We start from the raw sequence: 23,999 nt of genomic DNA on the forward strand, positions 1-23,999 counted from the left end.
GAGAAGGATGAAATGCCCTAATCGGAAGTCAGCTCCCCTCATGACCCTGGAGGGAATTCTGCCCACTCACAGACTCTTTCTTATTCTGGGCCTCTGCTGTTATCTGGGTATTGCTCCCTGTCACAGTCAGTTTGGGGACTGATCCTCCAGGGAAGTCCTGGGACCTCTCGGCAGGCTGAATGCTTCTCCTTTGTGACTCCCCTGCCATGGCGGTTGTGCCCCTTCTTACCTTCTACAGACACGACTTTTCATGGGCCTCTTCCTTTCTCCCCACCGGTAAATCACCACCCTTCAAAGGCAGGAACTGTCTCTATTTCATCTTAGTATCCTACGGGCCTGGCCCAGAGTAGATGCTCCAAAAAACTTGTCCTGAACTGAATGGGTGTGAAGCTGGGGCCTGTTGCACTGTGTTGTTGTGGGGCGGGGTGACTTCCAACCACACTGGGAGCCATCTCCCTCTCTCATTCCGAGGGAAGAGTCCGCAGCACAGATGGGCGCAACCCAATGTCAGGAGCTGACACTGTGATCAAAGAAAATCATTTCCATTGCTCCTGTAGACGAAAAGAGTCAAACTCAGTAAAATATTTGAAGAGATGTATTCTGAGCCAAATATGAGTGACCACGGCCCTTGCCATAGCCCTCAGGAGGTCCTGAGAACATGTGTCCAAGGTGGTCGGGGTACAGCTTGGTTTTATGCATTTTAGAAAGGCATGAGACATCGATCAAGTACATTTAAGAAATACACTGGTTTGGTCCAGAAAGGTGGGACCAAAGCAGGAGGAGAGGGGCGCTTCCAGGCTATAGGTAAATTTCAGTGAGTTTGTCTAAAGACCTGGGATCCATAGAAAGGAAATTTTCAAGTTAAGATAAAAGATGGTGGAGACCAAGGTTCTTTTGAAGTCTTATAGAGGCTGTCCTCAGAGACAATAGATGGCAAATGTTTCCTATTCAGATCTTTAAAAGGTGCTAGACTTGGCCAGGCACGGTGGCTCACGCCTGTAATCTCAGCACTTTGGGAGGCCCAGGTGGGTGTGGATCACAAGGGCAGGAGTTTGAGACCATCCTGGCCAATGTGGTGAAACCTCATTTCTACTAAAAATATAAAAATTAGCTGTGTGTGGTGGCGGGCGTCTGTAGTCCCAGCTACTCAGGAGGCTGAAGCAGGAGAATCGCTTGAACCCGGGAGGCAGAGGTTGCAGTGAGCCGAGATCATGTCACTGCACTCCAGCCTGGGCGACAGACTGAGACTCCGTCTCAAACAAAAAAAAAACAAAGTGCTAGACTTTCAGTTAATCTCTTTAGGATTGGGAGGGCCTGGAAGAAAAATATCTAGCTATGTTAATAGAGATTCTTTACAGATACAAATTTTCCCCCACAAAGGACAGCTTTGCAGGGCCATTTCAAGATATGGACAAAAAAGCCTATGTTTTGGGGTAAAATATTTTGATTTTCTTCCTTGTCTCATAATGTTATGACAGAGTCAGGTTGGAAAGTAAGTCACAATATATAGGGTTAAATAAAATCCATCTGATGAGAATTTATGGTTTGTAGGACATCACTCCCCAGACCCTTTAGATAGGGAATTTGGGTAAGATAAAAAAAAAAAAAGTCAGAGCTTAGTCTTCACTTGCAAGGGTGCCCCTGTCTTCCTCCACTCTCCATCCCCAAGCTGGGCTGGGATTTCTTGAGCCAGATGAGTTGAAGATGCTGCAAAGTTAAAATGGCCTTGCCTTCCTGTGCAGTCAGATGGAGCACCCCCTTCCCTCATCTGGGCCTGCTGAGTAGGGTCTCACTGATCCCCACACTGTGTGTCCCTTAGACCTTTCCTGAGACCCAGCCCTTCCCCCAGTGGAAGGGAGAATTATTTGAAAAGTGTGGGGTTTGGTGTCAGACAGACTGGGACCCAGGTCTAGGCTACTGAACCAGTGAGCTGTGTGGCTTTGTGCATGCTATTTAGACACTCTGAGTTTTAATTTCCTAATTTCTAATTGCCAGACAGGTTGGTTGGGAGGAACAGCTTAGATTGACCTATGAAAGCATTTGTAGACTCGGAAGTGTTCTCATGGCACTTTGGATGAAATCGTTCCTGCTGCTTCAAACTACTGTGTGATGAGTTTCCAAAAATCATTGCCTGTGATCTGCAGGCTCGTTGTATGTCACAGATCACCAGATGTGCTTCCATTCCATGCTTGCTTCTGCAGTCCTGTTCTAAGCTCTGGCCTAATATTCTTCCCGCCCACGGAGCTCTTGCCACTGCCTCACCGCAGAGACTGGAACCCTGTCCTTTAACTCCCAGCTCAGAGTGTAGGGAAGTGTTTCTCAAAGTATTCTCTGTGTTATCTGCTTCCAAATTGCCTGGATATTGGTTAAAAACCAAACCTCTGGTTCCCCTTCCAGACTGAAGGATGAGAATTGGCTGTGGGAATGAGTGGGAATCTACGCTGTTGTGAAGTTCCCCACAGGGATCTCCTGCATCTTAAGGCTCAAAGGCCATGGACCTAGCCCCTGGATACTGGGCATAGGCATCTCAGATGCTGTTTCTTCACTTCCCTGACTGGCCTGGGCTCTGGGGTTGGGACCTTCTCATTTCTGGATTTGTGATACTTGTCTTGTATCCCCTTTTATCATAGTGTGCTTTTGCTTACAAGTGAACAAAAAACCCAATCCAAAGTGATTTAAACAAAAAGAGCACTTATTGTAAAAGTTCAGAATAAACTGCCTTCAGGCATGGCTTGATCCAGGGGCGCACACTGTGTTACCAGGAGGCAGTTTCTCTCTGCCTCCTCACTTGGCTACATTTTTCTCTCACTTGTGCATCCTGAGCCATTCACAGAGCTCAGGAGGATGAGTGTTCTGATGGAGCAGGGTATGCTGGTGGTTAGTGCCATCAAAAACAGAATGAGATAATGATATGGCTCAGATGACTGGAGGAGCACCAGGGTTCTTGGTCTAGCACACACTTGGATAAAATGACACAGACACACCTGGAGTGGTTTTAAGGAGCGAAAAGTTTAATATACAAGAAGGAAGGAAGAAGAAAACAGCTCCCCAGTACAGAGACAGAGGGAGAGGGGATTTGAACAGAGAGAAAACCCCAGTGGGGAGAAGGGATGTGGGGGGAGGGCGTGTGTGTGGTGTAATCAGCTAGTTATATGAGGAGGCTGGAGGAGGCGGTGCTGGCTTGCATAGGGCTCAGAGGATTGGTTTGACCAGGCAGGTCATTCACATAGCCTGCGAAAAAGCTGGCCCTCACAGTCTAGCCTTTTAAGATGCAAATGCAGGGCGCCATGATGTTCTACACACGTGGGGATATGTGGGGGCGGCCATGTTGCCAGCCACCTGTTGGGGCAAGGAAGAAACCTGGAATCTCCATGTTTGGGTGGACTCAGTTTCCAGTGGCCTGCGTTTGCATATCAAAGCTTGCCAGTGGCTCTTAGAGCTGGCGCTCTCCTGTTAGACAAGAAAGGTTTCTGGATCTGCTTTAAAAGAAACAAAAACTTCCCAAGGACCTCTTTTCCTCTCTATCTGCCTAAAATAATTTCTTAATAACTCCTATAACAATAAGGGGGTGGTCCATTCCCACATGTAAATTGAGGCTTTTCCCAGAAATAGGGTGAATAGATGCTGAGTTACCCCAGCCAGCAAATGTCCATTTATCTCATTTGTGAACTCTGGACTCTGCACAGAGACTGTGGTGACACAGGCTGTCCTGTGACCCTGTGGCTGGGTCAGCTCCTGTGTCTGCGACAGGATGCCCTGAGTCCCCATGGATTCCTCAACCCCACACCCTGTCCTACTCTTAGCCAAGTCAGCCATGCCCCTCTGAGGGCTACGCTGCTTCAATAGGCCTGGCTTCCTAAGTACCTTTCATTATCACCCAGGCTCATACCCAGAAGCAAAGCAGAAATTTCTTTTGAGATCCAGGGTGGGAAATGGTCAGTTGAATTGAGTTGCAACCGAAGGTGAGGAAACGTCTTTTATGAAAACCCATTTCCCTCTGTCGGAGGTGATTTCAGTCACATTTTCCAAGCTCAGGATAATTTACCCCCTACCAGGGTGCACTGCAGAAGGTCTGGCTGGAAGGCCCCGAGCACAGGAGTTGATTGCTAGCTGCTAAGAGGCTGCGCTTTGTTCCTGAAGGAGAAAGCTGCAGGTTAAGAGAACATTCCCCACCTTGCCAGGGGTGACAAAGCAGGGGACTGCTTGAGGGCTGACACTGGAGTTAGAGATAATGAAAGGAGAGGAGGAAGAAGAAGCCAGGGCCTGGCTCAGCATCTCACCGCATTGGTGGGGAGAGGAGCTGCTCACCTTCTCGCACCTGTTGTTGGGCTGAGACAGATTTTCAGAGAGCAATGCCTCCTGGACAGAGGCTCTTCCCCACAGGGCAAATGTAATTAGATGAGAGAAAAACAAAGCTCTGAAACCCTAATTAGGTGCAAAGCCCTCAGGCTTTATACATCTAAACAGCTAAGGAACAGAGGATAAGATTCTCCAGTCGGCACTCCCTTGCCAGTCCTGGCTGAGCTAATGGTGAAGTGAGAGCTGTGCCACAGATCCCATGGTTGGCTTTTTGTTGTTGTTATTTCAGATGGAGTTTCACTCGCCACCCAGGCTGGAGTGCAGTGGTGCAATCTTGGCTCACCACAATCTCCGCCTCCTGGGTTCAAGTGATTCTCCAGCCTCAGCCTCCCGAGTAGCTGGGACTACCAGCGCCCGCCACCATGCCTGGCTAATATTTTGTGTTTTTAATAGAGACGGGGTTTCACCATGTTGACCAGGCTGGTCTTGAACTCCTGACCTCAGGTGACCTGCCCACCTCAGCCTCCCAAAGTGCTGGGATTACAGGCGTGAGCCACTGCACCTGGCCCCGTGGTTGGCTTTTACTCCTTCCATTCTGCCACCCTGAAGCTGATCCTCTGGAATTTGCTTGTTTTTGGTGTGTCCAGAAATGAAGGTCTATCAGTTCTTGAAATTGGGTTGTTTTAAGTAACTGATGTGCTGGGATGACAGTGAAGAAGACAAGATAGGGATTCCTCTTCCTAAACTTTAGGGCCTGAAGGGACTCCTCATTGACAGCAGATGGGATTTTTAATTTCACTCTGGGATGGAGGAAGTGGAGAGGTGATCCAGGCTGGATTGAAATCTCTCAAGCCTGGGAGATTTTGCCCAAAGACTTTTGACATGGGAACAGTAGAAACATTGGGAAAATTGGACTTTCAGGTCAGCATTCTGGGAATTTCCCCAGTCTTCCCAGGGTGGGATCATCTGGCCCCAGTTATGGGAATAAGACCACATAAATAGAAGATGACTTGGGAAGTCATCTTCCCAAGATGTCAGGGAGGAGGTGGAGGACCACTGTTCTGATCAGCCTCCTTCAACCTCACAGTGGGGTTGGTCTCAGATGGTGCCCAGGAACCTGCCAGCAGCGGCACTTTGATGGCACCAAGATCGTGGGTGCAGGGACCCAGATTTGCTTCCTACTCATGTCTCCCTACCCACTGAAAAATGGAATATCAGTGAGGAATATCTTAGAGGGCTGCCTTTGCTCCTTTTGCCAGAGAACCAATATTGGTTATGAACAATTGGCCCGCATCTGGTGTGCAGAAAAATGAATATTTTAATAGTGCTTCATAGGGTATCGTAGCATCTTATAAAAAGTGGCCCATCAAATTATTGATTCAATCATTTAAAATGCATTAGCAGAGGATGCCTATCAGACTAAGACATCCGTGTTTCTGATCCAGTGAAAAGGGTCCAGGTAAGGAACACATATTAAGCCTCTTGGCATCCTGTGTGAGCACGGTGCATGACGTGGCCGTCAGTATCATTGTTTTCTTTGAGTTTTTGCTTGAGTGTTGAGATGTGTGAGGGATAGAAGATCCTTGTTTGCTTCTAGTCCTGACCTACACTGTCCATTAGGGAAATAATTTGTTTTCTTGAACCCATTATATGAATAATTTTGTTTTTAATCAATAGAAACAAATGGTCTTTATTTAACTAATAGAAAAAATTCCAATGAGGCCAGGCCACATAGGGGTTTCTGTAAATGTCATATCATTTCTGTTCTGTCCCCTCAGCTAAGAGTATAAAAAGTTCAGGCGACCTCCAGGGGCTTTTGCCTACTTAAATAGTATTACTTAGAGATGAGCTAGTACTTGGTTTTAAAAGTAATTTTTTTTTTCTTTTTTGAGACGGAGTTTCGCTCTTGTCACCCAGTCTGGAGTGCAATGGCACAATCTCGGCTCGCTGCAAGCTCCACCTCCTGGGTTCAAGAGATTCTCCTGCCTCAGCCTCCCAAGTAGCTGGGATTACAGGTGCCTGCCACCATGCCTGGCTAATTTTTGTATTTTTAGTAGAGATGGGGTTTCACCATGTTGGGCAGGCTGGTTTCAAACTCCTGACCTCAGGTGATCCGCCTGACTGAGCCTCCCAAAGTGTTGTGATTACAGGCGTTAGCCACTGCTCCTGGCCCTAAAAGTAACAGTTCTAAGCTTTGTACTTACGACACCAAAAACATACAGACTGACATCTAAGTAATTAAGTCAATCATTAAGATGTTTAGTTATGTCATGCAAAATAATAATCTCCAAGGAGTTGTCAAAGAATTCAGTAGTTTGATGTTATTGCCAGCACAGCCTTTACTGAGTCCTCTTATAAATCTTAAAGAAAAATTTAAGATTTTTAATTTTTAAAGATTTAAAAATTTTTAATTAAATTTTTTTTTTAGGGCTGGACTCTTGGTCTGTCGTCCAGGATAGAGGGCAGGGATGCCATCACTACTCACTATAACCTCAAACTCCTGGGCTCAAGCAATCCTCCCACCTCAGCCTCCGGAGTAGCCGGGACTACAGGCATGCCCCACCACATTCGGCTAATTTTTAAAATTTTTTTGTAGAGACAGGGTCTCACTATATTGTCCAGGCTGCTCTCAAAATCCTGGCCTAAAGTGATCCTCCTGCCTCAGCCTCCTGAGTAGCTGGGTTAGATCCTGGCAAATGAAAGGGCCCCCAGCTTTGACCTACCTTTGGGGAAGATCTCACTGCACACAGGTTCTCACACAGCACACCCCGTCACACACATGAACTCACACCGAGAACATATGAACACTACACACATGTTCTCACACAGCACACCCTGTCACACATATGAACTCACACTGAGAACACGGGCATCACACATAGGGACTCACACATAGAGGGCATATGAACACTACACACATGTTCTCACACAGCACACACCCCGTCACACCCATGAACTCACACCGAGAACACAACATCACACACAGGGACTCACACATAGAGGACATGTGAACACTACACACACGTTCTCACACAGCACACCCTGTCACACATATGAACTCACACTGAGAACACAACATCACACACAGGGACTCACGCACAGAGGACATGTGGACACTACACACACGTTCTCACACAGCACACCCCGTCACACCCATGAACTCACACCGAGAACACAACATCACACACAGGGACTCACGCACAGAGGACATGTGAACACTACACACACGTTCTCACACAGCACACACCCCGTCACACCCACACCCCCACATGCGTAGACACACACATCCTTACTCTGCGTGCATCCCTGGCCTGGTGGACGGAAGATCGAGCGCTCCGGGTGGACTTACGGCCACAGGACGGGGGCAGAGTCGGCAGGGAGGCCCCTCCGAGGCCCAGTGGGCCCCGCGCTGGCCCCGGCCGCAGACGCCCACCTGCTGCTGTGCTGGCTGCGGCGTGTGCCCCGGGCTCTGCGGCTGACCTGGCCTCCACGTCTCACCCATGAAGCAGGCATGAAAGGCTGGCCAGGTTGGCTAAATGGGACCACAGCAGAAGCATGAGCCCCAGAATGTGCACGAAGGAAGAGAGAGCCGGGGGAGGTGGCGGGCTGGGTGTGCAGAGTGGGCCTGAGCTCCGGCCTCCTCCCTGGACGCCCTCCCGTGGCCGCAGCCATCCCTGCACCCACTGGTGTGGCCTGACCCCTCACCCTGAGCCCACCCTTCGCGGCCACTAGGGAACCTCAGGAGAGGCCGCTGTGGTGGGGTGGGCGGATCCCCCCGGAGCAGGCCCAGGCCCCTGCTCCTGAGCTCTCCGGCAGCGCCGCCTGCTGGCCACAGAGAGCCCACGTGCGCCAGCCGCCAGGCCTGGGCATCTCCCCTCCTGCAGCGCCGCCTGCTGGCCACAGAGAACCCACGTGCGCCGGCCGCCAGGCCTGGGCATCTCCTCTCCTGCAGCGCCGCCTGCTGGCCACAGAGAACCCGCGTGCGCCGGCCGCCAGGCCTGGGCATCTCCTCTCCTGCAGCGCCGCCTGCTGGCCACAGAGAACCCGCGTGCGCCGGCCGCCAGGCCTGGGCATCTCCTCTCCTGCAGCGCCGCCTGCTGGCCACAGAGAACCCGCGTGCGCCGGCCGCCAGGCCTGGGCATCTCCTCTCCTGCAGCGCCGCCTGCTGGCCACAGAGAACCCGCGTGCGCCGGCCGCCAGGCCTGGGCATCTCCTCTCCTGCAGCGCCGCCTGCTGGCCACAGAGAACCCGCGTGCGCCGGCCGCCAGGCCTGGGCATCTCCTCTCCTGCAGCGCCGCCTGCTGGCCACAGAGAACCCGCGTGCGCCGGCCGCCTGGCCTGGGCATCTCCTCTCCTGCAGCGCCGCCTGCTGGCCACAGAGAACCCGCGTGCGCCGGCCGCCAGGCCTGGGCATCTCCCCGGGCCCTAGTTCCCCCCCTCACCTAAGGGGAGGGACTCCCGTCTTTCCATCCACCCCCTCCTTGCCTCTGCAGAGCTCCAGGGAAGGCTGGCACCCGCTCACTGCATTTAGACTCCATCAGGTTCAGACAGTGGGTCAGGGTACAAGGCTTCAGCGGCCAGGGATGTGGCCTCTAATTTGTAGAGAGAAAGAAGGGCAGAGGCAAAGGTTTGGGCCCAGGGACTGGGCTCCGTTTCCAGAATCACTCTTGGAGCTGGTGAGCAGAGGGCTGGACACTGCCCTCCATGACCAGCACTGCCCTCCACCCTAGCTCACTCCCCTAGCCGGCCCAGGGGTTCAGGCTTTCCTTTCATAAAGTGGGGTCCAGGAAAGGCAAAACCTCCTCCCCTGGGCCACACGAACCGTGGTGCACAGGCTCCCACTAGGTGGGCCAGTCAGCTCATCCCATGGACACACCAGGGGCATCGAGAAAGGAATAGCGACCTGAACCCCATACCCGAAGGGTGGCCCTCAGGACCCCCAAGGCAGGGAACAGGCTGCAGAGGGTTTGGGGGAGCATCTTGGTGCATAGAAAACAAACACTCTGGGAAGCCGCTGTGAGTGTGTGTGGCCCTCAGGCCTGTTCTGTCCTGGGTGCGCTGCGTTCCCCAGGCGGCACCATCTCTCTGCCTCTGTACCCTTGAATTCCCTCTGCCTGCACCCGGTCCCCACCCACCTCCTGCCCAGCCCCACAAGCCCTTCCAGACCACTGCTGGGGCATTCCTGGGCCCCCTCGGTTCTTGGTGACTACCATGCAGTTCTCTATGGAAACTGACTCTCACTGAAAACAAGTGTAACCGTCTACCTAAGAGACTCACACAGAGTTCTCAGCCAGGTCTCCAGGACAATCAGACGCAACTTGTCATTCTCACTCATCCCATCACCCGACTAGCTTCTCAGCCCAGCCCCGGGGGAGGTTTTCCCCTTACTTGAAATGCCTCTTGGATTTGAAAAATCCCAGCATTCACCCCTGGTGCCGACACTTGCCTCTGTAACCTTCTGCCTGCTGCTTTGCTCTCATCCAGACCGGTTGGCACTTGGCCCCCTCTGGCCAGCTGGTTCCCCAGAGACAACCATCTTGCCCACCTGTGGAAGGCCCCATGGCCTGCCTCACCCCTCACTCCCATTTCACAGCTCTCGTCGTGCTCTACAAGAAAAATCTGCTTTATAGATGAGGAAAGGCCCTTGGGGCAGACAAGACAGTCCCTGTTTGACATAATTCCTTTATCTCTTCTCCCCCAGCTCTGCTGCCCCCTGCCCCATACACGTGATGGAGCAGAAAACGTGCTGTGTGAACCTGTGACTTCAGGGCCTGTTGACGTGGTCGTGCTTGCATACTCTCTGGTGAGGGGTGGGGAGAGGGGGTGGGAGACGGGTAGAAATAGATGAAGTAGATGATGGGTGGATTGCTGGCTAGATAGATGATAGATAGGGATAGGTGGTATATGGGTGATAGGTAACAGGTGATGGATAGATGATAGAAATAGATGATGGATAGATACTTGATAGGCAAATTAGATAATAGATAGCAATAGATGAACTAGATGATAGATGGAAAGGTAGGTAGGTAGATAGATGGTTGATAGATAAAAATAGATGAAATAGATGGCATGGTTAGATAGGTGGGTAGGTAGATAGATGACAGATAGAAAGACAATAGACCACTGGGGGCTGAGCCTGGCCTGAGCCAGAAAGGTGAGAAGGGGACAGCGGTGAGGACCCCACAGGTCCCTGCTCTCACCCCTATTAGCCCCAGTGTTTGGCCTGAGCTCTGACTGACAGCTCCCTCTTTCCGAGATGAGACTCAAGAGGAGGAAGAGGGGACTTCCTAAGGACAGGGATTCTTGGTGTCTCCTTGGGGGTGGTAGACACTGCCTGCCTCGCCTGCTGTGGCCTCTCTGCACACAACCAACGACCCCTAAAGGGCTCCGTGGGCACCCATGCTGCCCCCATCAGCTGACACCCCCTGTGCGAAGATTCTCCTCCTCCTCTTCCTCCTGCCTTTCTGTCCCCTCATCCTCCTCTTTATGGAATTAACTTCCCTTGGTCAACATCTTCCTGCTTCACTCACTTCCCTAAACTCCTCCCTATCCCTTCTCAATCTGCAAGAAAAATGTAGAAGGAATATGGTAAAGGAAAGCTTTGAGCCCATATTTGGGTCCAATGCCGACACCACATGCCCCAAAGCCCCCTTGAGAGCATCCACGTCCGTGTAGTTGAGTATTGCCCGAGCTGGAGTGAGATTTGCCTCTCTACGGAGCTGCCTTCCTGCAGTTCAAGAGCACTGTCTCTTTTCTGGGCCTCCTGCCTGGTGCAAGGGCCCCAGCTGAGCCTCCTCCAGCTCTGACCTCTGGTGGTTCCGGGCTGCCCCAGAGGGTCTTGCCCAGGCTCTGACACTTGGCATGGTCTGGGAGCTCCAGCAGCCACAGCCCAGCCCTGGGGAGGCTTTGTGGTCTCTGAGGGGGAAGGTGCACTCCCCCAACTCCAGTTCATGTTTTTCCCTCCAACTCTAAGCCTTTTTCTTCCTCTGCTATTACCCAGGCACCCTACCCTGTCAACAACACTGGCCTTCAAGACCCTTTGTAGCATAACTCCCACCTATAACTCCCACCTGAAGCCAGCCCTTCCCACCTCTGCGCCTCTGATGCCCAGGACAGCTCTGACCATGGGCAGCTCTGACCCAGGACAGCTCTGACCTTGGGCAGCCCTGATCTGGGGCAGCTCTGACCTCGAGTAGCTGTGACCCTGGGCAGCTCTGACTCTGGGTAGTCGTGACCCTGGGGAACTCTCAGCACGGGGGTTGCATGCTCCTGTTTAGACAGCTGCTGTCCCCCAAGCTGGCTCACTATCCCATGTTGGAGTGCCTGGATTGATGCAGGGAAACTTGGTTCCAGCCCACCTCCTCCTGCGGAGGCTGAGTCAGGGGCTCTTCCCTCGGCCAGGCTGAAAGGCAGCAGTTGGTCCCCCTGTGAGGTCTTCCACATGGCCTGGGAGAGTCTCCCCATCTCTTCAGGCAGAAGGGAGGACAGTCCATAATGTTCCTTCCAGTCCTCTGACTTGTCATTTTTCTACCCCAAATCTTGCACTTTAACCCCATAGAGAGCTCCTGAAGGGGGAATTTTAACTGGCAAAACTCAGAACTCCATCCAAACACAACCGAAACCATCCTGGGTGGCTTAGAGGTGGCTGCCTCCCAGACAAGTCCATAGCCCCACAGAAACGTCTGGTCCTTCACCTGCCAGAGCTCAGGCTTTTTGGTTGAAGCCGGAGACAGGCCCAGCTCAGAGTGTGCCCCGGTTTATCCTGAGCACAGACTTGGTGCGGTGTGTGTGACAGACCAGCGAAGCGGGTCTTGCTGCCTGTCCTGTGGTTGGCCCTTGGCTCCCAGCCTCGAGTCCTACCCTTAGGCCAGGTCAGAGCAGGTTCAGCAGCAGGACTGGCTAGGCACCACCCAGGCTCATGAGGTGGCTTTGTGGGGAGGAAATGAGGTTTTTTTTTTTTCTCTTGTAAAGTTGCTTGTTGTTAATTTAAAATTTTAATTTCATTTCTGAATTAACATTCAGCAAAACTGCTATTTTTTGGTGTACAGTTCTATGAGTTTAACACATTTATAGATTCATGTAGCAACACTGTGGATACAGAACAGTTACATCACCCCCAGAACTCCGTTCACAGTCACACTCCCCGACCCAGCCCCGGCAGCTCTCCCTGTGGTTTGTCTTTTGCAGAGGAAATCCCGCACCTGGCGGCACTTGGAGACCGGCTCCTCGCCGAGCCGACCGCGCGTGCGCGGCTCCCTCCTCGTCCGTGCTGAGCGCCGCGTGGGGTTCCGCGTGGAGGCGCCTGTGCCGCTGAAGCGTGTTTGGGTTGCTTCCAGGGTGGGATGGTTGTTGGATAGAGCTGTTTGTGCATTTGCGTTGTAGGTTTTTGTGTGAACATAAGCTTTTGTTTCTCTCGGGTACATACCCAGAAGTGCAATTGCTGAGTCATGTGGGAAGCGTGTGCCCAACTTTACAGGAAAACACCGCAGGCCGCCCCTTCGCTTTGCGCTCCCGCTAATCGGGAATGAGTGCCTGCTGCTCCGCGTTCTTGCGGGCACCCAGCATTTTCCGTGCTTACATTTCAGCCATCCCGGAATGAATGAAAAGCGTTTCCTAGTGGCTGTAATTTGCATCTCCCTGGTGGCTGATGGAAGCTTATTTCCCATCCATATCCCTTGCTTGGTGACGCATCTGTTCAAATCCTTCCCCGGTTTGTAACTGGATTATTTGGTGTTTTTACTGTTGGATTTTGAGAGTTCTTTATGTATTCTAGATACAATTCCTTTGCCAGATATGAGATTCACAAATATTTTCTCCAACTCTATGTCTTGTGTTTTCATTCTCTCAACAGTGACTTTTGCAGCATTCATAGGGATTTTATGGTTTCTTCTCAAAGTTTTATAAACCACTATATTTAAAATTTTAATTTAAAAACTATAAACCTATTATAGTTTTTAAATTAAACTGTAAACCTGTTATATAGATTTTCTGTTTAAACTTATGATTCCTTTTAAGTTAATTATTATGTAAGTTGTGAGGGTTGGGTCAAGGCATTCCTTTGCTTAAAATCCCCAGCTTTTCATTTCTCTCAGACAGAAGTCTTGACCTGCAGGGTCAGGCTCCCCTGCTCTCTGAGCTCGCCCTCCCCACGCAGCGCTAGCCCCTGGACTATTCTCACCACTCAGGCCTTGGCCTCCATACCCGCTTGGCACCCACCAAAGGGTCCGGGGACCCCTCCACAGGGCAGCGTTCTGTCTGTGAGGTGAAGCGGGAGCAGAGGGCCAGGCAGAGCCAGGCTGGGACCCAATCTCTGCTTCAGGCTGGTCTTTTTTTTTTTTTTTTTTTGAGACGGAGTCTCGCTGTCGCCCAGGCTGGAGTGCAGTGGCGCGATCTCGGCTCACTGCAAGCACCGCCTCCCGGGTTCACGCCATTCTCCTGCCTCAGCCTCGCGCGTAGCTGGGACTACAGGTGCCTGCCACCATGCCCAGCTAATTTTTTGTATTTTTAGTAGAGACGGGGTTTCACCGTGTTAGCCAGGATGGTCTTGATGTCCTGACCTTGTGATCTGCCCGCCTCGGCCTCCCAAAGTGCTGGGATTACAGGCGTGAGCCACCGCACCTGGCCAGGCTGGTCTTTTTTGCCAGAGTTAGTGTTGTATTGAGGGACATGGATGGAGAAAAGGGGGTCAGTTAGGGGCAAGTTTACTTGTGCAGGTAACCAGGGTGAGGGCTCGAGGGGAGAGGAGAGATAAGGAGGGCAGAGCTCAGCCAAGTTGGCCTGATGACATGACCAGAATGTGATCACTAGATCCCCTGCCTGGAGGCCCAAGTGTGGCCCCAGGTCTGGATAGTTGCAGCCACTGTGGGGAAGCTTCAGTTTGGGAGCCACAGAAACCAAGAATATTGTCTGGGAAGCTGATGTGAAGAGAGGAGAATGGAGCGGATGGAGGTGCGGTGGGGGAGAGAGACAAAGAGACAGAGAGGAGAGTAAAAGCCTGTTGCTGGCTCCACTATGTTGGGCTTGTCAGCCCAGCTTCTTCTTGTCCCATCCATAAAATGGGCTGGTGTCACCCATCCTGGTTAGGAGGCACAAGGAAGTGTTGCGCTGTGTGCTCGGCCCAGCTGACTCAGCAGCTCTCCAACCTTGGGGACTCTCCAGACAGGTGTGTGCAGGTGAGGTGCTGGACCAAGGAAGGGCAGGTGGAGGACATGGCCGAGGGGAGCTCTGTGAGCTGAGCTGCCTGCTTCGAGGGTGCCCTTGAGGCCCAGGACTGACCCCTGGAGGGAGAGGCTTCCTTCCTTCTGTTGGGGCTCAGAAAACAACGCCCCAAAATGAAGTCCTCAGCAGCAGCCTCAGAAGCAAAAGTTGTCTCTGACCTTCTCCTGCCCTCCTGTCTCTCAGTCTCATTCTCCCCGAAGGCACTGTAGAAACCAGACTCTCTTTTTCCCCAAGGCCGGTCACAGAAATCAGAACCCCTTCTCCCCAAAGCTGGTCAGAAAACCTAAAAATATTACTCAGTTTTCCGTCTACCTTTCTATATAAGAGCTGACTAGAGAGAAATGATCCAACATCCCTTGTTTGACTGTAGGTCATGAGACTGTCATTCCAGAGAGGGCCCTGCCCCACGTCCAGAGAAGAAAATGCTCAGAGATGAAGACAAATCTAGACAGACCTTGCTGGGTTCCCACTCAGTCTATTCACATTAGATCAAGCCCTTTGTGTCCAATCCTTTTTTTAGAGGACTGTTCATACGTTATTAAACCTAAACATAAAAATGGACAATTTCCCCCATCGTTGGGTCTTCGTTCTAAAGGTTCTTATATGTACACATCACATAAATTTGCATACTGTTTCTCCTATTAATCCATCTGTCTCATGTCAGTGACTTCTCAGCAAACCTTTAGGGGCCAAGGGGCCCCACACTCTCCAGCGGCAGGCACAATGGGCCTGGGGTGCAGTTGTGGACACTCGGACCCTCCTTGGAGCTGGTTTAGCTGTGCTGTGTGCTTGTGGGAATGGATTGCCATGATTTCTGGGCTCTAATAAATTGTGCTTCAATCGACTCTTGAGGAGTTAATGAGAGGCCTCACTTCAGACCATAAACACCCTCCCTGTGTGGGATAGAAACACACATCGTCACAGCCAGGAGGTCAGTCGGGTGAGGGTCTGCTTTGCTTACAAGGTCCAGAAACCCAGCAGAAAACCCTCGAGGCCACATCAGTGAAGAGTAACTTATTTCAGCAACATTTCCATGTGTGACACAAGACACACATTTCCTGCATCCACCTTTAAAGTCAAGAAGTTGAAGCTGAATAAAGCCAGCAGGCAGCGAAAATCACCTGCACTCAGTTCAGTTGTGGCAGGAAAGGGAAAGAGCCATGAAGAAAGGAGAGGGGGATGGAGAGGGAGAAAGGAGAGGGGGATGGAGAGGAGAAAGGAGAGGGGGATGGAGAGGGAGAAAGGAGAGGGGGATAGAGAGGAGAAAGGAGAGGGGGCTAGAGAGGAGAAAGGAGAGGGAGATGGAGAGGGGGATGGAGAGGGGGATGGAGAGGAGAAAGGAGACGGGGATGGAGGGGGGATGGAGAGAAGAAAGGAGAGGAGGGTGGAGAGCGACAGCTGCAGAGGGAGGCAGGGAGGCTGGCTGGGCGTGGACAGCTGCAGAGGGAGGCAGGGGAGGCCGGCTGGGCATGGACGCTGCAGAGGGGACACAGCCACTCTGGGAACAGCAGCCAGTGGCGGATCTGCCTGGAATGCTGTTCCCTCCTGTCCAGGATGGGCCTGTCTCTGCAGACAGGGGCCCTCCCCTTCCTGGCCTGGCTGTGCACAGCCTATGTGCATGGTGGAAGCTCTGCAGAGGCCGTTCTGCTCCAGAGTGGGGCATAGCCTCGGGCGAGGTTCACAGCTTGGGGGGCTGGTCCTGCCCTGTCCCACATGTGGCTGTGTGGGCAGCATGGATCTTCTTCCGCGGTGACCCTGTATGCCCACCCCCGCCAACTTATGCCTGCTTCCCAAGGCCATGGGCCTCACCCTCAGACTTCACTTTTGTGTATATGGAAAGACACAATTATCGGGACAGAAACAGATCAGTATTTGCCAGTGGGTGAGTGAGGGGAGAGGAGTTTACTACCGAGGGGCCGAACTGGGGCCATTTTTGAGGGATGAAAGTCTTCTGTGTGGCTCTACAGAGTTGGGTACGTGATGCTGTGCTTGTCAAACCCCACAGGACTGGACCTCACTGTGGGAACAACAAGATCAACAAGAGGAGCAAGAACAACATCAAGAGTCAGGGCCCGGGGGTCCTGACGGGTACAGGATGGGTACAGACCCACACAGGAATCCCAGAGTGTGTTCCACAGCAGGACACGCCTGCGCTGAAAGAGTGGGCAGAAAGGAGCTGACCTGGGTAAGTCCAAAAACAGTGTTTTGATTAGATTCTGGAAAGAATCAAATAACTCTGCATATCTAAGCACTAAACTCCAATTGGTAAAATTGTTTCCCACAGCAATACATGTTAGCAACTTTGAAACTACTTTTATATATACTAAGGTTTCACAAATAAGTCAATACAGTAGTAAGAGTCAGGGTTCTCACAGCTGGATAAGGAAGTCATGGAAAAGCCAGCGGGGACCCTGAGGTCCATATATAATATATATTATACATATATACAGATCAGAATGGACCCTAAGGTGGTCGGTTATAGACAGATATGCCAGCAGGAACTCATGTTTACATGATACATATATACAGATCAGAATGGACCCTGAGGTCCATATATAATATATATTATACATATATGCAGATCAGAATGGACCCTGAGGTCCATATATAATATATATTATACATATATACAGATCAGAATGGACCCTGAGGTGGTCAGTTATAGTCAGATATGCCAGCAGGAACTCGTGTTTACATGATACATATATACAGATCAGAATGGACCCTGAGGTGGTCGGTTACAGTCAGATATGCCAGCAGGAACTCGTGTTTACATGATACTTATATACAGATCGGAATGGACCCTGAGGTGGTCAGTTATAGTCAGATATGCCAGTAGGAACTCGTGTTTACATGATACATACATACAGATCAGAATGGACCCTGAGGTGGTCAGTTATAGTCAGATATGCCAGTAGGAACTCATGTTTACATGATACATATATACAGATCAGAATGGACCCTGAGGTGGTCGGTTATAGTCAGATATGCCAGCAGGAACTCGTGTTTACATGATACATATATACAGATCAGAATGGACCCTGAGGTGGTCGGTTACAGTCAGATATGCCAGCAGGAACTCGTGTTTACATGATACTTATATACAGATCGGAATGAACCCTGAGGTGGTCAGTTATAGTCAGATATGCCAGTAGGAAATCATGTTTACATGATACATATATACAGATCAGAATGGACCCTGAGGTGGTCGGTTACAGTCAGATATGCCAGTAGGAAGTCGTGTTTACATGATACATATATACAGATCAGAATGGACCCTGAGGTGGTCAGTTATAGTCAGATATGCCAGCAGGAACTCATGTTTACATAATACATATATACAGATAGGTTAAATATATACACACACACATGCGTGTGCATACATGGCTTAGCACACACATCTGTAGATCCTGGGTTTGTCCTTTGAGAGGGGACACCCCAGTAGCAGCAAGCACATTCCATGCCCAGATGTTAGTTTCTAAATTTCATCTTCAATAAAAGGAGCCAAGTCTCCCTGGAGAAATGGCTGATAATTGGGATGTGGGAGAGAAAATACAAGATGAACCTGGAGCATCTTGTAGTCCCAGGAAGTAAGAAAATGCTCAAAAATAAAATTTTTAAAAAGCTGTGGGCATTTCAAAAGGGCATGGAACCCAAAATGTAAGAGCTCCCAGTGGCCACAGCTACAATGATTTGAGTGCACACACACTCACACAGACATACACACACACACACACAAATCGGATTATGCCCCAAAGAATAAAATGAATGTCCATGGATTTGTAAGCATATAAATAAATTATTGAATAAATTAAAACTGAAAGGGTAGCCGGGCGAGGTGGCGAGCGCCTGTAGTCCCAGCTACTCGGGAGGCTGAGGCAGGAGAATGGTGTGAGCCCAGGAGGTGGAGCTTGCAGTGAGCCAAGATCACGCCAATGCACTCCAGCTGGGGTGACAGAGCAAGACTCTGTCTCAAAAACAAAACAAAACAAAAAACTGAAAGGGACAGGCCTTTCTTGGAACAAATTCCAAACAAGAAATGTGGAGTAAATAGGGAAAATCACCATCAGGCTGGGCACAGTGGCTCGTGCCTGTAATCTCAACACTTCGGGAGGCTGAGGCAGGTGGATCACCTGAGGTCAGGAGTTCGAGACCAGCCTAGGCAACATGGTGAAACCCTGTCTCTACAAAAAAATACAAAATTAGCTGGGCCTGGTGACACATGCCTGTAATCTCAGCTACTTGGGAGGCTGAGGCAGGAGAATCGCTTGAACCCGGGAGGTTGCAGTGAGCTGAGATTGTGCCACTGCACTCCAGCCTGGGCAATAAGAGCAAAACTCTGTCTCAAAAAAAAGAAAGAAAGAAAGAAAAGAAAAGAAAAAAAAGAAAATCACCATCAGTGCTGCAGGCAAGCTCCCCTGAGGAATGCTAAAATTCCTGTGCAAAGTTTAAGGAGAAAGAAGATATTTGTATACTGTCAAAGTGTCTCCCCTAAATGTTCAGTAATTACCGCGGTGCCCAAATTCTTTGATGCTCCTTCCTGTGGGAGTTGGAGCTCATGCTGGACTTCATGACTCACTCTTAACCAGCAGGACATGGAGAGGAAAACAGTCACTCTCCCGTGGGGAGACCTGGCAGGCCTCACCTTGGCCGTGTGATCAAGGTCCAGACCACCAGTGATGAGGCATGTTGACATCGTGGCCCCTGAGAGCACGTGATGAGAAGAGCGCTCCACCTCCGCCGTGTTCTTCCGCAAACGCACAGTTCCAATGTAATCAGAGAGAACATCACACACACACCAATTGAGGGGCATCTTGCAGAATACCTGAGCAGCACTCTGCAAAGCTGTCAAGGCAGTGAAACGAAGACAGGCCAGGAAAGGGTCACCGGTGCAGGGGACTAAGGAGGCGTGAGGGCCAGTGCAGCCTCTGGGGTCCTGGGCGTGAGCTGCTGAGATGGCACCCGCGTGAGTGTCGCAGTTTCCACACCGTGAGCTGCTGAGACGGCACCCGCGTGAGTGTCGCAGTTTCCACACCGTGAGCTGCTGAGACGGCACCCGCGTGAGTGTCGCAGTTTCCACACCGTGAGCTGCTGAGACGGCACCCGCGTGAGTGTCGCAGTTTCCACACCGTGAGCTGCTGAGACGGCACCCGCGTGAGTGTCGCAGTTTCCACACCGTGAGCTGCTGAGACGGCACCCGCGTGAGTGTCGCAGTTTCCACACCGTGAGCTGCTGAGACGGCACCCGCGTGAGTGTCGCAGTTTCCACACCGTGAGCTGCTGAGACGGCACCCGCGTGAGTGTCGCAGTTTCCACACCGTGAGCTGCTGAGACGGCACCCGCGTGAGTGTCGCAGTTTCCACACCGTGAGCTGCTGAGACGGCACCCGCGTGAGTGTCGCAGTTTCCACACCGTGAGCTGCTGAGACGGCACCCGCGTGAGTGTCGCAGTTTCCACACCGTGAGCTGCTGAGACGGCACCCGTGTGAGTGTCGCAGTTTCCACACCGTGAGCTGCTGAGATGGCACCCGTGTGAGTGTCGCAGTTTCTACACCGTGAGCTGCTGAGATGGCACCCGTGTGAGTGTCGCAGTTTCTACACGTGCATCATTGCTGTGTAAGATGCTCAAGTGAGAGGAAGCTGGTGAACGGGTCTGTGGGAAGTTGCAGTACTGTCTTTGCAACTCTTCTGGACATCTTTTTTTTTTTTTTAAATAAAACATTTTTAACATGAAAATATGCAGAGCACGGTGGCTCGCACCTGTAATCCCAGCACTTTGGGAGGCCGAGGCAGGTGGATCATGAGGTCAGGAGTTCAAGACCAGCCTAGCCAACATGGTGAAACCCCGTCTCTACTAAGAATACAAAAATTAGCTGGGCGTGGTGATGGGCATCTGTAATCCCAGCTACTCGGGAGGCTGAGGCAGGAGAATCACTTGAACCCGGGAGGCAGAGGTTGCAGTGAGCCGAGATCGCACCCCTGCACTCCAGCCTGGGTGACAGAGCAAGACTCCATCTCAAAAAAAATAAAGGAAATATGCGTCGTTGGATGCTGTATGACAATCAAGCTACTTATAACAAACAAAATTGAGAATGAAGGTAAATTAAAAATAATTTATAGTCTTTAAAAAGCAGGAACTACAAAATTTACATTTCTGAAAATGGCAGAAAAATCCCACATGGCTGTATATGTATGTGTGAGATTGTGTATGAGCGCATGCATATATTTTTGTGTGTTTGGATTATATGTGTGACGGTGTGCATGAGTGTGTGTATGATTTGGGGGTATGTGTGAGTGTGTATGACTGTGTGTATGAGTGTGTATGATTTGTGTGTGTGAGTGTGTACATGTATACACTAGTGTGCGTATGATTTGGGGGTATGAATGTGAATGTGTACATATGTATTTATGATCTGAGTGTGTATGAGTGTGAATGTGAACATGTGTGTGTGAGTGGGTATATGATTTGGGTGTGTGCAAGTATGAATATGTATTGTGTGCATTAATGTGTATATTTTGGGCTGTGTATGAGTGAATGTGAACATGTGTGCACGAGTGTATATATGATCTGGGTGTGTATGAGTGAGCATGAGTGAACATGTGTGCATGAATGTGAGTATGATTTGGGTGTGTATGAGTGTGAATGTGTGCACGAGTGTATATATGATCTGGGTGTGTATGAGTGAGCATGAATGTGAACATGTGTGCATGAATATATGATTTGGGTGTGTATGAGTGTGAATGTGTGCACGAGTGTACAATCGGTGTGTATGAGTGAGCATGAATGTGAACATGTGTGCACGAGTGTATATATGATCTGGGTGTGTAGGAGTGAGCATGAATGTGTATGCACAAGTGTGTGTATGTGTGTATGATCTGGGTGTGTAGGAGTGTGAATACGAACACGTATGCGCAAGTATGTATATGATCTGTGTATGTATGAGTGAGTGTGAATGTGTGCATAAGTGTGTGTATGATCTGGGTATGAGTGATTGTGAATGTGAGCTTGTGTGCACGAGTGTGTATATGATCTGGGTGTGTGGGAGTGAGCATGAATGTGTATGCACAAGTGTGTGTATGTGTGTATGATCTGGGTGTGTAGGAGTGTGAATATGAACACGTGTGCACAAATGTGTATATGATCCGAGTATGTAGGAGTGAGTGTGAATGTGAACATGTTTGCACGTGTGTATATGATATGGGTGCATGTGTGGGTGTGTTTGTGCAGGTGCACTGGGAGCTTTCAGCATTGAGTCTGTGTGGCATCCAGGCTTTTCTGGATGATGTAGAATCAAACCCCATAATTAATTCCAGTAACTTAGAAATTTTCACTTATGAATACTAAATTCTCCTCACCTAGCAACTGACTGAGCAGGTTGAACAGCACCCTTCGCCGTTCTCCTGCAGAACCCCGTGGAATGGCCCTGCTTTCTCAGAGTGCTCCTAGCGGTGATGAGGGAGCCCAGCTCATTGCGGTTCGTGCAGAAGGCTGTGTGCCATCTCCGGGACTGCACGGAGAGGCGGAGGCTCAGGCGTGGGATCTGAGCTCAGTGGGCCCTTTAAGGACCGCTGCCTCCTTTCCTCCCTTTGGCATTCAGCATCGACTTACGATGGCTCCCAGTCACAGTCCTTGTCACTGCCTGGCATTACACAGGGCCACAGTCCCTTAACTGAAACACTTGGGACCAGTTGCATTTTGGAATTCGGAATGTTTCTTGATTTCAGAGAGAGAAGAGGGGATGGACTGTTGGGCAGCCCTGATTAACCCTGCAGCGTCTTGGCTCTAGAGGGGCCTACACGGCTGGGAGCGTCTCGGCTCTAGAGAGGGGCCTGCACTGCCGGGAGCATCTCAGCTCTAGAGAGGGGCCTGCACTGCTGGGAAGCCTACACGGCTGGGAGCGTCTCGGCTCTAGAGCCACAGCTGATGCATGGCAACGATGAGCTCTCCTGCTTAGTGCTGATGTGCCTCAGCCCCTAACCCCACTGGTGTCCGGATGAGGAACTTGAGGCTCAGAGAAGCTAGGTCAAGGTGAACACCAGTGTTGAGTTTCAGCCCCAGGTCTACCTGATGCTGCCTCCACATTGACTGAGTTGGCCTGGTCCATTGTGAGGTCAGGTAGAGCCAGGGCCGAGGTGGGGATGCCAAGGTCCCATGCCGCAAAGATGGGTGGGACGGCACAGGAGCCAGTCATCATCCCCAAAGACACAGCTCCGAATACCTCATCCTGAAATCCCAAAGATCAAAATCCCAAAAGTATAAATCTGGAAAAAATAATGTCGATGTTATTTATTTACATTTTTAAAAGGTATGTATTTGAGAAACATAAAAACACAACAGAACATTTCATAGGCCACTTTACACAATAAAATAGGCAATGATAACAGGTATTTTTGCATAAACACTGAGGTAACTAACGACGGCGGCATGGGTGTAGCAGTTATAAGAAGACAGACCATAAAGAAATAAGTCAAAAGAGAAACGTGTACACGTATATCGCTACGGTTACTAATTGTGTGCACCTAGCCCTGTAGCTGTGGTCATCTGAAATATCAGGGATTTTAGACTTGAGGGATTTTGATCTTTAGGGATTTCAACATTCCACATTATGGTGCTTGGGATTGTGTCTTTCAGGATTATGATCCAAACTCAGCTGGGCCTCCCCTCCCTGCCCCAGGATTGTGGAGTGAGAACGTTGCAGCAGGAGAGAACAACGCAGCAAAGCACAGCAGGGGAACCGGAAATGCTCACCTTTTGACAGGGTACTTTTAGTTCTGGGGCCTTATCTTAAGGATATTCCAACATATACAAAAAGATTCATGCACAGAGATATGTACTTTAGTATTATTTACCATAGGAAAAAAGTTGGAAACAATACATTTTATGTTCTGTAAAATGAAAGAACAGTTAAATAAATCATGGCTCTAAGACGACTCCAGGGCTGTGTACGGAAGTTCAGGGACAGAATCAGTTGAGGCTGTTCCACCTGAGCCTAAGCTTCCTCTGCTGTATGTCGGGAATCAGGTGGGGGCCAAGCGAGATCACCACAGTGCAGGCCAGTGTGCAGGGCACAGGTGGGCACCAGGGAGGGGACGCCGCACAGCCCCATGCTCTCGCCAAAAACGTGCAGCACAATTTGGAAGAAAACATTTCCATCTGTTAATAAAGAGCAAGGGCCTCTGGTCATAAGTGACACATGACCCTTTGCCTGAGTCTTTTTAAATTTTTCCATATGTTCCATATTTTCTACACCAAATGTAAGCTACTTTCATAATCACAAAAACTTAATGGAAAGAGGAGGAGGAGGACGGGGGTGGGGAGTAGTAGCCATGGGTTCGAGCCCTTCCTCTCCGCATGACTTGGATAACACGGTATATTCACACAGCTATTTCCCCATCTATGAACTTCTGAGGTGCTTTTATTAGTTGATGTCTGGGACCCCTAGGAGCTCTCTTTATACCTCATGATATCAAATGCCCACCTTTC

At 50.4% G+C, this 23,999-nt stretch overlaps 1 long non-coding RNA gene across 1 annotated transcript in view; it reads left to right on the plus strand.

Annotated features, from left to right (window-relative positions):
• Nucleotides 1-23,713, plus strand: part of LOC101929692 (uncharacterized) — a 115,831-nt gene extending 92,118 nt beyond the window's left edge. Inside the window, exons 3-5 of the long non-coding RNA NR_171670.1 lie at nucleotides 10,001-10,102; nucleotides 16,523-16,702; nucleotides 23,148-23,713. This is a non-coding gene — a long non-coding RNA (uncharacterized LOC101929692). The remainder of the gene's footprint in view (nucleotides 1-10,000; nucleotides 10,103-16,522; nucleotides 16,703-23,147) is intronic.
• The last annotated feature ends 286 nt before the right edge of the window (nucleotides 23,714-23,999 follow it).

The sequence above is a fragment of the Homo sapiens genome, chromosome 6 (genome assembly GCF_000001405.40).
Source record: "Homo sapiens chromosome 6, GRCh38.p14 Primary Assembly".
NCBI classification, from domain to species: Eukaryota; Metazoa; Chordata; class Mammalia; order Primates; family Hominidae; genus Homo; species Homo sapiens.